Source organism: Homo sapiens, chromosome 2 (genome assembly GCF_000001405.40).
Source record: "Homo sapiens chromosome 2, GRCh38.p14 Primary Assembly".
NCBI classification, from domain to species: Eukaryota; Metazoa; Chordata; class Mammalia; order Primates; family Hominidae; genus Homo; species Homo sapiens.
In genome coordinates, this window is record NC_000002.12 from 65877075 (window position 1) to 65894884 (window position 17810).

Sequence of the window (17810 nt, forward strand, 5' to 3'; positions counted from 1 at the left end):
GAACTGAGATCACAGTGATAGAAGGCTGGAGAAATTTGGCATGGGATGCTTTGCATTTGCTTTTTGACACACAGAGTGCTTTGTTGTGGCATTCAGTCCTCCCACAAACCCTGTGAAGAAGATATTAATATCTCTATTTTCAGATGATAGAACTGAAATGGAGGCAGTTAAATGACTAGGAAGAATGTGTAGGGCCGGATCTCTCACTGGACTTAGCCCACATGGAGTATCTGGCCCCACACCTCCAATCTAACCTTCCAGTAAACATGCACCAACGCATTCAAGACAGTCACCGGGGCGGGTGTAAATTCACACAGCAGAGTAGCTAAGCGTTCAGGAGCGGGGTGGGAGCCAGAAAGAATGGGCCCTCAGAGGTGCCTGCCTTGGGGAAAAGTGAGTGCAGCTAGGCACTCATGGTCCTTTCTGGTCCAGCATGCTCAGACAATGAGTAAAGGCCTTGGACACTGTCCTTGAAGTGTCCCAAATAACCTTATTTGAAGCCATTTAAAAAAAATCTGAAAACTTCCTTTAAAATGATATCCACCAATCCCTCCCCACCAACTCACACCCCAGGTATTTAAGAAATGCTGTGAAGTAACTGACAATAAGCAAAATGCACAACGTGCCTTTTTGTTCTTTCTTTTCCATTTCAGTCAGAGAATTCAGGCTTTCTGTAGCTCCCTCTGGTAACAAGACATCTAAACATGTTCAAAACAGTGTTGTTATCTTTCACTTTACCCTTGAGCAATGCAAAGAAAACACTGTGAACTGGCAGACATCATTTTGCTAACACTCTCACATACATGCTAGCTGTGCTTCTCCTAGGAAACCTCCCCTTCTTTCTCTGGAAGAAGATTTTCTGCTTCATACTTTGGGGTCTGTTTCCAGGAAGCATGTGGCTCGACTTGCTCTTTTAATTTCATCCCAGCCCTATTCATTGCATCTTTAAATGAGCATTGTTTAGCAAATCCAGAAGCAGAACTTGTTTCTGGCTTCCTGGAAGGGATTTTACTTGGAATGTAAAGAGGTTGGAGAGCTGGGCTTTTGTTTCTGGCTTTGCAGAGGGAGATATGTGGCACACATACCATCGCTGTACATTCCGCGATCCATGGCAGACATCAATAATCACTCCTGGCATTTTCTCTTGTTACATTTGGACATGGTCCCCAGAGTTCTTCACAATCCATGGCAGTCCTTGCTGACTGCCAGAGCTGACTTATGGATATAACTTCCTTGTCATCTTATCAGAACAGCTTCCTGGTGACAGCTGACTTTACTGTATCCACTATAAACTTACAAATAATTTTAAATGCTCTTATTTTACTCTTAGTATTCTCAGGACAAATATAACAGAAATGTAATAGAATATCTATGGTTTCTGGCATGAAAGGAGGGTTTATTGAAATCTTTGAAGGGGATATGTTTAGGCAGTCAGTCTAGACATGCACATTTTTAATAAGTTTCTTAGGTTTTGCTAATATTTCCACCTCTGTGTTGAGAAACATTACAGCACACATTTCTAGTTTTTGGCACAGGCTTTTAGCTGCCTTCTTAATAGAGCAGGCACTCCTGGGCGAGCCTGGGGAAGGGAGATCTGGAAAGCACCTTTAGTTGTGCAAAACTCTGAGGGCCAATCTGACTGTGGCAAAATCACGTCCTCATCCCAGGGAACTGTAATGGTGGCTGAGTTTCTTGAGAATAGTGAGGCAAGTCTCTCTCTTACCACACAAAGTGTTGGCTGCTGGCTTTGCCCTTTGGAGAAATAACTTCAGGCCTGGAAAGAAGATGGTCTCCCTGGTGGAAAGGAGCCAGCTTCTCCCTTGCTTGCCTGCCGCAGAGTGGCCAGCGTTCCTGTCAGCATGAAGCTGGACTGGCCCACCTGGTCAGGGCAAGAGGCGGCTTTTCTTACAAAGACTCCATTTGTAGTTTCTAAGAAAGAACTTCTTAGAATGTTCAAAACCAAGTCGTGAAAATATTTTTTTGGAGTCACCTCATTAGTTTTAACAATAAATGCTCATAACTGGAAGTAATGATTTGGCAATTATAAGTCAAACTTCAAGTAGGGGTAGGAGACCTATTTCTAGAGAAACAAATAGGGCTGCCTCCCATTGAGCTAAATTGTGCTTTGAACTTTCCTAGAGTTTATTTTCCCCCAGGACCTTTAAGAACTGAGCAAATATCAGTTCATCAATAAAACCTGTGTTTGTAGATGGTTTATGCTGAAGTATTTTCGACTCGGCGTCTGTATTTGAATGTGGGAACTGAGTCAGAGAGACTTGCCCAGATCATCTCTGTCTAACTCTTTGAGTGGTACGCAGGGTGGGTGCAATGAGGCAGGGTGGGGTAGACAGCACTGTGACTTCTGGTCCCCACAGGTGATCTAATGACCTAGGAGTCTGCCTGGTATGTGTTGTTATAGCATGCATATCAGTCTCCTGTTCTGTGCTATAATTCATGCGCTTGCTTATTCATTGAATTATTCAACAAATGCTAATAATTGCCTATGATATCCCAAGCCCTAGGCTTTGTGCTTGGAAACTAAGATAAGTAAAATATTGTCCTGCCCTCATATAACTCTAAGTCTAGTGAAGAAAACAGATCCATGCATAGATGTTTTGAAGCAGTGCAGCAGGCCGTGATAGAGAAATGCCCTGAGCTTTCTGGTGTGTAAGGAAAGTTCTCTAATCCTGATGGGGGAGTGAAGAAGGATGTGTGTGGGAAGCTTCCTTGTGAAGGTGACAACCTGAATTTTAATGGAAATGCAATAGGAGGCAGTTTTCTTTTATTCATTTTTCTTCTTTCCCTAGGTGGGGCCTGACATGTTCCAAAGTTAGACAAACAGAAGGAGCGTTTGATGGTGAAACATAAGGCAGAACAGGGATTCCTTGGGCACAGAAATGTGCAGGTGGTATGCTGAGAGGGGGTCAGTGGTGGTCTCATGAATTGCTCAGTTGGCTTGTTCCTAAAGCCAGTGGCTCTACTCTCAGGTTGGAACAGGGTCTGATTCTGTTTCTCGCTTTCTTTCTCTACCCAATAATTGCAGTTCCTCTGAAAGCTCTGTGCCAAATCTTCCATTCTGTGAGCAGCATCCCTAACCTTTCAGCTCTCCATCCTCATCTAGACCGCTAATTTATTTGTTCCTACCACTTTTTCACTTTTCACCCACTCCCTTTCTCTTAATTACTTCCTTTTTTAGCGCAGATTCCAAGATTCAACATGAAAAACACTCCCTTGTAAAGCCCTTGACCTCTTGGTCTCTCTCTTACTCTGTAACATTCATCTGGCAAAACCCCAACCATGCTTAACACCGTCTATCTGTCTACTCAATACTTGCACCCAAGCAACTGAGCAAGCGAGAGAACAACACACAGCCATGCCTTAGATGTACAAGGACACGCCTGGAATGGGTACTCGACACCGCCCTGCAATCTGCCACACTCCCCTAGTTGTATATACGGGCTCACACTCGCCAACCAGTTATTTCACACATTCATTCATGATCCATCTGGTGGGCATTTCCTTTATGTCTGGCACAGTGACAAGCCCTGGGGACAGAGCGGGAAACATGACACACAAGCACCATCATACTGCTTACTGAGAGCTATGCAGGGAATGTTGGGTGAATTGACGGACGGCCTGGCTGACTGCTTTACATAGATTGCTTTGGGAAAACCTCACTGAGGACATATTCAAGCAAGTATCTCAATACCAAGAAGGAGCCAGCCCATGAAGATCAGAGGAAGGAGCATTCTAAGCATTTGGAACAAATGGAGCAAAGCCCCTGAGATGGGCTTGTCTTGTTCAAGGAACAGGAAGGCCAGTGTGGCCAGACCATAGTGGTCAAAGAAGAGAGTATCATGGAATTAAGAGTAGACATGCAAGAATGTAGAATTGCAGGTGTAGGCAGGTTGGAGATTCAGGAAGTTGCACTGGATGGCTCTGGTTTCCTTGCCCAAGGAGCAGCTAGTCTCCCTTAGAACTCAGGGTGTGTGGTAAGTGTTGTGCAGGTGGCTCAGGAGAGTGGGGGACTTTGTCACAGTCACTTTGGTAAATGGGACAGGGAGCTGACCAAGAATTGGAGTAAGAATTGGAGGTTGGAGATGTGGCATCTCTGTAACTGGGGTCAGAGTTTATAGTGGCTGTGATCATCCTGGCTGTAAATGGGAGCAGGGGAGGTAGATTCTTGCATTGATCTGGGGATGGTGTTTTTCAGAATGGATTTGGGAAAAAAGGATAAGGTGTTAAAGAAATGAGACTGCAGGTGGGCAATAGTTTGAAGATCAAGTACAGGGTTCAAGCTGTTAGAGGAAAGATGCCAAGATAGCTGTTAGAGCCCGGGACTAAACCGAGATCAAGAATCCTTTATGAGATTGAAAAGCAGCTGTAGAATGAGTTTTAAATAGTGTTTAATTATTTATTTATTTTGCAGCCCAGCAATAGCAGCCTGAGTTCTAGCTCAGAGCCTGCTTTTGATAGCAGATTGAGACATCAGCTTTGCACCTGGCAGGCCAGGAGATATTAAGGAGTTCTGTTTGAATGAGTTTGCCTTGTCTAGGCTAAGGTATTTGTTAGGAGGGCCAGAAGCAAGGATCTTGGAGAAAAGAGAGAAGCAAGAAAAGGAGTGAGGGGAAATGGGCCAGAAGAAAGCAAGCTTTCACAAAGGAAAGTTGCTGATTCTGTGTGTGATCAATCATGCTAACAAAGAGGCCAGTGACACAGCCTTGTCCTCCCAGAACATCGTCATTCTACCAACTGAAGCCCCTTTGGGAGATGCCAGTGGTGATTTATAGGAGGTACTCCTGCATGCTGTAGGAGCTTACTCTACTATGCACAGGGTTCTTTGCTGATAGAACACTTCCTTTTAAAATTCCCTTTTGTGGGCAAGCAAATCTCACATCTTAATACAAAGCAAACCTTTGGAAGATAAACACTTTTAAATCTTACATTTTAAAATAAAAAGTTTCCCTAGCCTTGCCTGAGGATTGATAGGCATAAAAACATTCCCCAGCAAGTGTCATTTTACCAAATCTAAATTCTCAAGGCGATCTTGTGTCTTTCACTAGAATCTTTCTTAGACACTCTTGAAAGAACTTAAAGTTTGCATTGATTTTATTAATTTTACTTTATTGGGTGAAGAATACTGCTAATATAATACATGTTCTATTCATTTGCAGTCTTATTTCTAATTAGGCATTTGATGAGGACTTGTTGATGGATTAGTTGCCTGGCCTTTTACTTTTCTGCCCGGGGCAACTGAGGCAATGTACTTTAAGGCCAGTACTACAGGATGTTAATTAGCAAAAAGCCAAAAAGAAAAAAAAATTCAGCAGTCAAAAAGGTTAGAGATACTCTGGAAAAAATAATGTGAAACACATTTTTTTTGTAACTGCTGACTTTCTGGGAGGTTTTAATATGCTAAGGAACATTGAGAGTTTCCAAGAGGGGGATAAAGTATGCGGTATGTCTACATCCTTTTGAGCATAGGGTCTTCTTTTGTTGGAGTGGTTTATGGGACTGATATTCTACAGAAAACCCTTTGAAACCTATAACATTAAGATTTCCAATAGAGGATGCTGGGGGCAGAAAAGGAATGAAACTCAGAATAATACTCTTTATATACGAGAAACCAAATTCTATATTTTCTTTTAGTTTTACTTTAGTAATTGTTTTATTCATTTCCATGTTCCATCTACATGCTATCTGTCTGTCTATCTATCTATCTATCTATCTATCTATCTATCTATCTATCATCTATGTATGTATCTATCTAATCTCTCTCTCTTTCTTTCTATCATCTATCTATCTTCTTACAATAAAACCAGTATTCCTCCAACCAAGAAGGGCTTGTAACTGCGCCAACTAAAAGTTTGGGATGAAAGTGATATGTGTGACTTCCAGACTTCTAATATTAGGTCACAAAAAGGTTATAGCTTCTCTCTTTCTTTTCTTTTTCTTTTCTTTTTTTTTTTTTTTTTGAGATGGAGTCTCGCTCTGTCGCCCAGGCTGGAGTACAGTGGCTCAATCTTGGCTCACTGCAAGCTCCGCCTCCCGGGTTCACGCCATTCTCCTGCCTCAGCCTCCTGAGTAGCTGGGACTACAAGCGCCCACCACCACGCTTGGCGAACTTTTTGTATTTTTAGTAGAGACGGGGTTTCATCATGTTAGCCAGGATGGTCTTGATCTCCTGACCTTGTGATCTGCCCGCCTCAGTCTCCCAAAGTGCTGGGATTACAGGCGTGAGCTACCGTGCCTGGCCGATATAGCTTCTCTCTCTCTCTCTCTCGATATAGATAGATAGATATAGATATATGGTTATCCCTATGTCTTTTAATGCTTTCTATTGGAACTCAGCCACTATACTATAAAGGAGTCTGAGCTAGACCATTTGGAGAGGCCCTTGTGGCGAGCAACTGAGACCCGCAGCCAACAATGAGAATCAGCCTGAAGCATATCAGTGACTGGGACTTCAGATGATTCCAGATCTTAGCTCTCAAACTTCAAGGTCAGCCCCAGACACTGTGGAGCAGAGACAAGCTGTGCCTGCTGTGCCTTGTCTGAATTCCTACCCACAGAAACCGTGAGCACAATAAATGGTTGCCTTATGGTAATAAATTTTGGAGTTATTTGTAACACAGACATCGTCGTTTGAAAAAAAGGGTAAAGCTCCAGATTATTAACCTGACATTAATGGCCTCTCTCCAATGTGGTCCCAAACTATTCTTCCAACTATTCATCTCCAATTATTCCATTATGAATTCACTGCTGAAAATCCAGCTGCTTTTTGTGCCCACAACAAAATCACACTTTCCTTCCTCCACATCTTTGCCTATTAAATTGTGAGTTCCTTGAATAGTTCTTTCAAAAATATTTTCTCAGGACTTAACAAAGTGCTTAGAATGTAATTGATTCTAAGCTATTGATAGATATTGGAATAAAAATCAATGCATAAACAAAGGAGGTCATCCTCCTAGATAGACATATGTTTTCTATTCTTTTCCACATGTTTAAGTCCTGTTCATCCTAAAATATCAAGTTCAAATATCATTGCTTGTTGAAGTGTTCTCTAGTTGTCCCCAAATTAAGCAACTTTCCTACCTTGAGTGCCAATATAAAGCATTGCTTATACTAATTACATAGCCCTTGATATTTACAACCATAATGCTTTGGCGTCTTTCCATGATCTTATATATAATTTCTCCAACTAGTTCTTAAGGTATTTGAGGGCAGTACTGTACCTTATTATTATTTTGCTTCTTATCTTCCTCCTTCTTCTCATTTTTAAATTCTCCTTAAGACCTATACAGTGTGTGTTAGGTACACACTGTGTATTCATAATCTATTTGTTGGTTATTATGAGCCAAAAATAAAATGATAGCTCTCAAAACCAAAAAAAATGCAAAATCTTATCTTAGGCGGTGTGACATCTGTAGTGCATTCAGATCCAGGGTGATCACTCTGAACTCCGCACCATTTATGTTGTAAGCATTGTGCACTATTCCAGGAGGATGTGGTCATGAGAGGATAGAGCTCAGTTTCCCACCCCAACTCTTCAAGAGCAGTTCTACCATATCAGAAGGCTATTATATACAATTTCATTTGGATAAAGTTCTTTAGCTAGGACAAAATTAAAAGGAACATGGACAAAGAAATGAGGAATTCAGAAATTATAACGAGCTTTTAGAGGCACTGGGGGTGTTCAGGGATATCTGAGAAGACATGATGCCCGTCTTCAGTTAATTGAAGTCAGGTATACACAGGATTCATGCTAAATAGCACCTGATAATTGACCTAAAGTGAATTGATGGTTAGATTTTGAGTTAGTCTCAGGAAGACTTTAATAGTAGAGAGTACCGTCAATGGACTGGGCTTTCCTATTAAGTATCATGCTCTGTATCATTGGAATTTTCCAAAGGGAGTCAAACAGGTAGACTTCTGTTATGAAGAATGACTTAATGGCAACAGGTTGAATTTAGTGAATTTGTTCCAATACTTAATTTCTGGGCTGCTTTTAGTCTAAGTTTAGTCAGACAGAAGGAAAGCATTCTAGGTATTCAAACAGAAGGAGTTAAATGCAAGGAATTGGTTATACATTTGTAGGAAGGGCTGGAAGAGCAAAAGGGAGGTAGACAGAGCATGGAAGAGGTAAGAGGAAGAAGGGGTAAAACTGAGATACAAGAGGCTGCCAGTGTCCTAGGGTGAAGCCCATAAAGCTGCCTCTTCTGCTGCTTTGTTGGAGACACTTTTCAGTTATATCTGGATGCAGTGAGGAAGAGCTGCATGAACCAGGCCTACAACTGTGCAGGCTGCTGCAGTTCAGAATCATCTCATCCTGCTGCAACAGCAGCAACCACCTGGGACTGTTGGCAATTGACACTGTCAGAGCCAGAAGCAGGAATATTTTCTAAGTGCTTCCTATTGGCAGAACCTAACAGGAAGCTAGTAGACAAGGGAACCTGGGAACTGTAGTTCACAGACTCACAGTCCAGCAAAAATAGAGCACAGTATACAAAGGCAGGTGGGGTGCTGACAGACAAGAAGTCAGTCGTTGACATTTGGGCCCCTAGGCCCACTCTGGTACAAGCATCCATCTCTCATAGGAACAATCGCAGTGGCTCCAATTAGTCTCCTTCAATCCCCTTGGCCTTTCTTCTATCTGCTGTTTATGATAAAGCTGGAGGGGTCTCTTTAAAACAAACATCTAATTATGTCTCTCCTTTGCTGAAAACCTCCCAGTAGCTTCCCATTACCATTAAGGCAAGAGTCTACTCTTTTGTATACATGTCTAGAAGGCCTTGTGTAGTCTGTTCCTTCTTCATCTTTATAGCTTTCTCTGACATTAGATTTCTTCTTGGTCTTTGTAATGCAGTTATCATGGTTTCTTTCAGTTTCTTGAATGTGCTGTTCTCCTTTTCTGCCATGTGTCTTTTGTACATGCTTCTCCCTCTCTATAGGATATGTTTTGGATTTGTGTCCCCACCCAAATCTCATGTTCAATGGTAATCCCCAGTGTTGGAGGTGGGGCCTTCTGGGAGGTGATAGATCATGGGGATGGATCCTTCATGAATGGTTTAGCACTGCCCCTTTGGTGCTGCTCTCATGATAGAGTTCTCATGAGATCTGGTTGTTTAAACGTGTGGCACCTCCCAGCCTCACTTTCTTGCTGCTCCAGCCATGAGATGTGCCGGCTCCCACTTTACCTTCCTCCATGATTGTAAATTTCTTGAGGCCTCCCCAGAAGCCGAGCAGATGCCAGAATCATGCTTCCTGTACAGCCTGTAGAACTGTGAGCCAATTAAACCTCTTTTCTTTATAAATTACCAAGTCTCAGGTATGTCTTTATAGCAATGTGAGAACAGACTAATACAATATGGTATGTTCTCCCTCCACATAACCCAGACATTCATTCGTTCTTCAGAATTCAACTCAATCAGCCTTCTTTCATAGACACTTTCCTTAGTCTTTCTGACTGGGTCAATTGTACTATTTTAGTATAAATGTTTCCATCTATTACTTACTTACTTCTATGTCTCTCTCTCCTCCCCTGACACACACACACACATTTAATTTCTTTCTTTCTTTCTTTCTTTTTTGAGACAGAGTCTTGCTCTGTCGCCTAGGCTAGAGTGCAGTGGCGTGATCGCGGCTCACTGTAATCTCTGCCTCCCGGGTTCAAGAGATTCTCATGCCTCAGCCTCCCAAGTAGCTGGGATTATGAGCACTCACCACTATGCCCAGCTACTTTTTGTATTTTTAGTAGAGACGGGGTTTCATCATGTTAGCCAGGCTGGTCTGGAACCTCAGGTGATTCGCCTGCCTTGGCCTCCCAAAATGCTGGGATGACAAGCGTGAGCCACCTCACCTGGCCCACACATTTAATTTCTATCTCTTCCTCTCAACTGTAAACTTTTGTGAATTCAGGAATTATGTCTTTTTCTTTGCTCAACAATGCTCACTCAACACCTAGCACAGTGCCTTGTATATAAAGGATGCTTAAAAAGTGAATAAATATACAAAGGCATGGGTATATGATCTGATGATTCATTCTTGCTGAGTGAAAGTTAAAATATCCTGGGAACCAGTGTCAGTTGTCTACTTTTTATTGCACACTTGAAATGCTGGATTCACTGTTGGGCTTATCTTAGGGATCATGTAAATATTAGAAAAATGACAATCATTTTTTTCTCTGACTCTTGTTTGAGAGGTAAGTCTATCTCTATAAAAATATAACATGCTTTTGGAGATATTTTGCCTTTTCTTTGTACTCCTGAGATCCCCTGCTCTCCTTAATGGCTTCAATCTTTATCAAGATCTCTCTCATGGGAGAAGCCCTCTAAGAATGCTGACTTTGTTTGCTGGGTGATTTTGAAGCCTAGTCTATTCTGGGAACAAAAACCCAAGCTGAAATGGTTTGCATTTGCCATTGGGAATTTAAACCACTTGTCTCTAAGACTGTAGCGACAGGAACACAGGGAAAAATAGATGAGGATCTGAGTTGCAAAAATTCCCCAGGACTCATTGGAAAACTACCTAAGGAAGGAGGGGGGGAAAAGGCACCAAACAATCTCTAAAAAGAGCCATATTGGGGTCAGCATCTAGCTAGTTTATTAATTTCTTTGACTGTTGTTTTTTCCTTTAATTTCTGTCCCTGAACCTGGCAAAGAATTGTGGCAGTTAGTCCCCAAGTCAGTTTGCGGGGAGGCCATGTTTAGTAGTGCAGGTGCCATCTGGATTTTGAATTTGCCATGAGAACACCCTCTGCTAGGCTTGAGGTGTTTAGATGATGGTGAGACGGGCAATAAGGGAGAAATATGACATTGCTCATGAGTGATTATTCTTCTTGTTATTTATTCCCTATTCCTTAAACCATAGGTGAAATGTCCTAGTCAAAGACTTTAGCTGACAGGGGACTCCCAGTCTCTTCCAGATGGAGAAAATGTGAACCTGAAGGGATTATTTTTGCAGTGTTTACAGTGCATAGAAGTTTCCTTAAATATATAATCAGAGGTAATTAGACTGTGTGGTGTAAGAAGGGGTATAAACACTATTGACATGCTAGTCTCGAAATAGGCACCATCTGAGTTGATTTGCCTTTGACAGTTCCTGATTTTCAATATTTTTGATATTTTGGGAAGCAGATGTGATGAGGGTGAAGAAGTTTAAGCCCAAGAATAACATCTCTTGGCTCCAAGATAATATTGCTTGTTTGCATCTTCTTATCTTCTTAATCTATGGAGAGACACCAGCACACGGAGGGATATTGTCAATCTAGGGCTTAGTAAATTGGATGATTCAAGATGGCAAGGTTTTACCTGCTGCCAGATGAATAAGCTTCCGTTAAATCTATGGAAATTCTCTGCCACAGGGGTTGACATCTTTTACTCTGGGTCGAATTTTTTAAAGTTACCCCTTCCAGTCTTGAAACAGACTTAATATCAGTATTTTGTTGTGCCTGTCAGAAGTTTTTAAGTCATTCTTTCAGTATTGTGTGAAAATATAAAACACTACAGCAATTCACAATATGATTATTAACAATTCCACTTAGGAATAACTGGTGTTTCCTTGATTTAAGACACATTTGATAATGCCAAATGTGTTTCCCCTTGCATACATAATAAATGTGTCCCAGGGCCATGGCAGCCTGGAGTTAGAATCTTGGTACTAAAAGCTAGCATTGCATTTATTCTAAGGCTCAGTGCCTTCCTACAGAGCCCCATATAAATGCTTCCACATTTCACTGCTTGTGTTGCTGCATAGCAAATTACCTAAAAATTTAGTGGCTAAAAGCAATAAACCCTTAGTATCTCAGAAAATGCAGTTTTTTATGGCTTAGAAATTTGGCAGTGGCTTAGCTGGCTGACTCTCGGTGTCTCCTGAGATTATGATCCACGTGTAAGTTGTGGTGTAGTCATCTGAGAGCTGGACTGGGGCTAGAGAATTAGCTTCTACAATGGCTCACTCACATGGCTGTTGGCAGGAGGCCTCAGTTGCTTGTCGCATTGGGCCCCTCCACATGGCTGCTTGAGTGTACTTATAACATGGCAGCTGGATTTTTCCAGAGCAAGTGATCTTAGAGAGAGCAAGGAGGAGCCTGTAGCCCTTGTGCCCTCATCCCGAGGGTCACATTACTTTACTTCCACCATGTTGTACTCATCAGGTCACCAAGGAAAACTCACACTCAAGGGTACAGGAATTAGTCTCCACCCTTTGAAGCTAAGAGTATCAAAAAACTTGTGGACATACTTGAAAACCACCCTATTGCTGATTGATTGTGACCTGCTCTACTTTGAAATGCTTATTTCTTCTTTGTACCCCAAGATCTTGTCACTTTGGCTGGACCTGATTCACCTGTCCAGGAGCTGCACTTAATTTTATATGTTTTGCCCTTCCCCTCCTGAGCAGAACACCACCAGGCACAACTCTCAGGGAACTTGCCTTAGCTAAACCTAAACCTAAAGACTTCAAAACAAAATTAGTTACTCAAAAGTCAAGTTTCCCTCCTGCTGTGGAACTGGGAGAAGGTGGAACATTTCCTTTTCAAGGATCCTATTATCTTTTTCTCTCAAGTGGCCTTTGTCAGGCCATGTAAATCAATTAAAATTTGTATTCTGGATTCGTGGGCAAGATAGCTGAATAGGAACAGCTCCGGTCTGCCCCTCCCAGTGAGACCAACGCAGAAGGTGGGTGATTTCTGCATTTCCAACTGAGGTGCCTGGCTCATCTCATTGGGACTGGTTACACAGTGGGTGCAGCCCATGGAGGGAGAGCAGAAGCAGGGTGAGATGTCGCCTCACCCGGGAAGTGCAAGGGCTCAGGGAACTCCCTCCCCTTGCCAAGGGAAGCCTTGACGGACTGTGCCATGAGGAACGGTGCATTTGGCCCAGATACTACACTTTTCCCATGGTCTTTGTAGTCCGCAGACCAGGAGATTCCCGCAGGTGCCTGGGTTTCAAGCACAAAGCTGGGCGGCTGTTTGGATAGACAACAAGCTAGCTGCAGGAGTATTTTTTGTGCCCCAGTGGCACCTGGAATGCCAGTGAGACAGAGTCATTCACTCCCCTGGAAAGGGGGCTGGTGCCAGGGGCCTGAGTGGTCTTGCTTAGTGGATCCCAGCAAGCTAAGATCCACTGGCTTGAAATTCTCGCTGCCAGCACAGCAGTCGGAAGTTGACCTGGGATGCTCGAGCTTGGTTGGGGGAGGGGCATCCGCCATTACTGAGGCTTGAGTAGGCAGTTTTCCCCTCACAGTGTAAACAAAGCCGCCAGGAAGTTCAGACTGGGTGGAGCCCACCACAGTCCCACAAAGCCACTGTAGCCAGACTGCCTCTCTAAATTCCTCCTCTCTGGGCAGAGTGTCTCTGAAAGAAAGGCAGCAGCCCCAGTCAGGGGCTTAAAGATAAAACTCCCATCTCTCTGGGACAGAACGCCTGGGGGAAGGGGAAGCTGTGGGTGCAGCTTCAGCAGACTTAAACATTCCTGCCTGCTGGTTCTGAAGAGAGCAGCAGACCTCCCAGCACAGTGCTCAAGCTCTGCTAAGGTACAGACTGCCTTCTCAAGTGGGTCCCTGAACCCCATCCCTCCTGATGGGGAGACGTCTCCCAGCAGGGGTCGACAGACCCCTCATACAGGAGAGCTTCAGCTGGCATCTGGCAGGTGCCCCTTTGGGATGAAGCTTACAGAGGAAGCAGCAGGCAGCAATCTTTGCTGTTCTGCAGCCTCTGCTGGTGATACCCAGGCAAACAGGGTCTGGAGTGGACCTCAAGCAAATGCCAGCAGACCTGCAGAAGACGGACCTGACTGTTAGAAGGAAAACTAACAAACAGGAAGCAATAGCATCAACAGCAACAAAAAGAATGACCACTCAAAAACCCTATCTGAAGGTCACCAACATCAAAGACCAAAGGTAGACAAATCCACGAAGACGGGGAGAAACCAGTGCAAAAAGGCTGAAAATTCCAAAAACCAGAATGCCTCTTCTCCTCCAAAGGATCACAACACCTCGCCAGCAAGGGAACAAAACTGGATGGAGAATGAGTTTGATGAATTCACAGAAGTAGGCTTCAGAAGGTGGGTAATAACAAACTCCTCCGAGCTAAAGGAGCATTTTCTAACCCAATGCAAGGAAGCTAAGAAACTTGATAAAAGATTACAGGAGTGGCTAACTATAATACCCAGTTTAGAGAAGAACATAAATGACCTGATGGAGCTGAAAAACACAGCACGAGAACTTCGTGAAGCGTACACAAGTATCAATAGCCGAATTGATCAAGAAGAAGAAAGGATAGCAGAGATTGAAGATCAAAGTAATGAAATAAAGTGTGAAGACAAGATTCGAGAAAAAAGAATGAAAAGGAACAAACAAAGCCTCCAAGAAATATGGGACTATGTGAAGAGACCAAACCTACATTTGACTGGTGTACCTGAAAGTGATGGGGAGAATGGAACCAAGTTGGAAAACACACTTTAGTTTATTACCCAGGAGAACTTCCCCAACCTAGCAAGACAGGCCAACATTCAAATTCAGGAAATACAGAGAACACCACAAAAATACTCCTGGAGAAGAGCAACCCCAAGACACATTATCATCAGATTTACCAAGGTTGAAATGAAGGAAAAAATGTTAAGGGCAGCCAGAGAGAAAGGTTGGGTTACCCACAAAGGGAAGCCCATCAGACTAACAGCAGATCTCTCTGCAGAAACCCTACAAGTCAGAAGAGAGTGGCAGCCAACATTCAACATTCTTAAAGAAAAGAATTTTCAACCCAGAATTTCATGTCCAGCCAAACTAAGCTTCATAAGTGAGGGAGAAATAAAATCCTTTACAGACAAGCAAATGCTGAGGGTTTTGTCACCACCAGGCCTGCCTTACAAGAGCTCCTGAAGGAAGCACTAAATATGGAAAGGAAAAACCAGTACCAGCCACTGCAAAAACATACAAGAATGTAAAGACCAACAACATTGAAGAAATTGCACTAACTAATGGGCAAAATAACCAGCTAGCATCATAATGACAGGATCAGATTCACACATAACAATATTAACCTTAAATGTAAATGGGCTAAATGCCCCAATTAAAAGACACAGACTGGCATGTTGGATAGAGAGTCAAGACCCGGCTGGGCACAGTGGCTCACACCTGTAATCCCAGAACTTTGGGAGGCCAAGGCAGGTGGATCACGAGGTCTGGAGATTGAGACCATCCTGGCTAACATGGTGAAACCCCGTCTCTACTAAAAATACAAGAAATTAGCCTGGCGTGGTGGCGGGTGCCTGTAGTCCCAGCTACTCGGGACGCTGAGGCAGGAGAATGGCATGAACTGAACGCAGGAGGTGGAGCTTGCAGTGAGCCGAGATCATGCCATTGCACTTCAGCCTGGGAGACAGCGAGACTCCGTCTCAAAAAAAAGAGCCAAGACCCATCGGTGTGCTGTATTCGGGAGACCCATCTCACATGCAAAGACACACATAGGCTCAGAATAAAGGGATGGAGGAAGATTTACCAAGAAAATGGAAAGCAAAAAAAAAAAAAAAAAAAAAAAAGCAGGGGCTGCAATCCTAGTCTCTGATAAAACAGACTTCTTTAAACCAACAAAGATCAAAAAAGATAAAGAAGGGCATTATATAATGGTAAAGGGATTAATGCAACAAGAAGAGCTAACTATCCTAAGTATATATGCACCCAATACAGGAGCACCCAGATTCATAAAGCAAGTTCTTAGAGACCTACAAAGAGACTTAGACTCCCACACAATAATAGTGGGAGACTTTAACACCCCACTGTTAATATTAGACAGAATGATGAGACAGAAAATTAACAAGGATATTCAGGACTTGAACTCAGCTCTGGACCAAGCAGACCTAATAGACATCTACAGAACTCTCCACTCCAAATCAAGAGAATATACATTCTTCTCAGCACCGCATCACACTTATTCTAAAACTGACCACGTAATTGGAAGTAAAACACTACTCAGCAAATGCAAAAGAATGGAAATCTTAATAGTCTCTCAGACCACAGTGCAATCAAATTAGAATGCAGGATTAAGAAGCTCACTAAAAACTGTACAACTACATGGAAACTGGACAACTTGCTCCTGAATGACTACTGGGTAAATAACGAAATTCAGGTAGAAATATATAAGTTCTTTGAAACTAGTGAGAACAAAGACAATGTACCAGAATCTCTGAGACACAGCTAAAGCAGTGTTTAGAGGGAAATTTATAGCACTAAATGCCCATAGGAGAAAGCGGGAAAGATCTAAAGTTGACACCCTAACATCACAATTAAAACTAGAGAAGCAAGAGCAAGCAAATTCAAAAGCTAGCAGAAGACAAGAAATAACTAAGATCAGAGCAGAACTGAAGGAGATAGAGACACGAAAAACCCTTCAAAAAATCAGTGAGTCCAGGAGATGGTTTTTTGAAAAGATTAACAAAATAGATAGACTGCTAGCGAAACTAATAAAGAAGAAAAGAGAGAAGAATCAAATAGACACAATAGAAAATGATAAAGGGGACATCATTACCGATCCCATAGAAATATAAACTACCATCAGAGAAAACTATAAACACCTCTGTGCAAATAAACTAGAAAATCTAGAAGAAATGGATAAATTCCTGGACACAAACACCCTCCCGAGACTAAACCAGGAAGTTGAATCCCTGGATAGACCAATAACAAGTTCTGAAATTGAGGCAGTAATTAATAGCCTACCAACCAAAAAAAAGACCAGCACCAGATGGATTCACAGCTGATTTCTACCAGAAGTACAAAGAGGAGCTGGTATCATTCCTTCTAAAATTATTCCAATCAATAGAAAAAGAGGGACTCCTCCCTAACTCTTTTTATGAGGCCAGCATCATCCTGATACCAATATCTGGCAGAGACACAACAAAAAAAGAAAATTTCAGGCCAATACCTCTGAAGAACATCAATTTGAAAATCCTCAATACAATACTGGCAAACTGAATCCAGCGGCACATCAAAAAGCTTATCCACTACAATCAAGTCGGCTTCATCCGTGGGATGCAAGGCTGGTTCAACATATGCAAATCAACAAATGGAATCCATCACATAAACAGAACCAATGACAAAAACCACATGATTATCTCAATAGATGCAGCAAAGGCCTTTGATAAAATTCAACACCACTTCATGCAAAAAACACTCAATAAACTAAGTATTGATGGAATGTCCCTCAAAATAATAAGAGCTATTCATGACAAACCCACAGCTAATATTATACTGAATGGGCAAAAGCTGGAAGCATTCCCTTTGAAACCTGGCACAAGACAAGGATCTCCCCTCTCACCACTCCAATTCAACATAGTATTGGAAGTTCTGGACAGGGCAATCAGGCAAGAGAAAGGAATGAAGTGTATTCAAATAGGAAGAGAAGAAGTCATATTATCTCTGTTTGCAGATGACATGATTGTGTATTTAGAAAACCCTACCGTCTCAGCTCAAAAACTCCTTAAGCTGATAAGCAACTTCAGCAAAGTCTCAGGATACAAAGTCAATGTGCAAAAATCACAAGCATTCCTAAACAGCAATAACAGACAAACAGAGAGCCAAATCATGAGTGAACCGAGAATAAAATACCTAGGAATCCAACTTACAAGGAATGTGAAAGACCTCTTCAAGGAGAACTACAAACCACTGCTCAAGGAAATAAGAGAGGACACAAATAAATGGAAAAATATTCCATGCTCATGGATAGGAAGAATCAATATCATGACAATGGCCATACTGCCCAAAATAATTTATAGATTCAATGCTATTCCCATCAAGCTACCACTGACTTTCTTCACAGA

At 42.4% G+C, this 17810-nt stretch overlaps 1 long non-coding RNA gene across 2 annotated transcripts in view; it reads left to right on the top strand.

Moving 5' to 3' along the window:
* Window positions 1–17810, top strand: part of LINC02934 (long intergenic non-protein coding RNA 2934) — a 298411-nt gene that overhangs the window by 87000 nt on the left and 193601 nt on the right. The window lies entirely within an intron of this gene.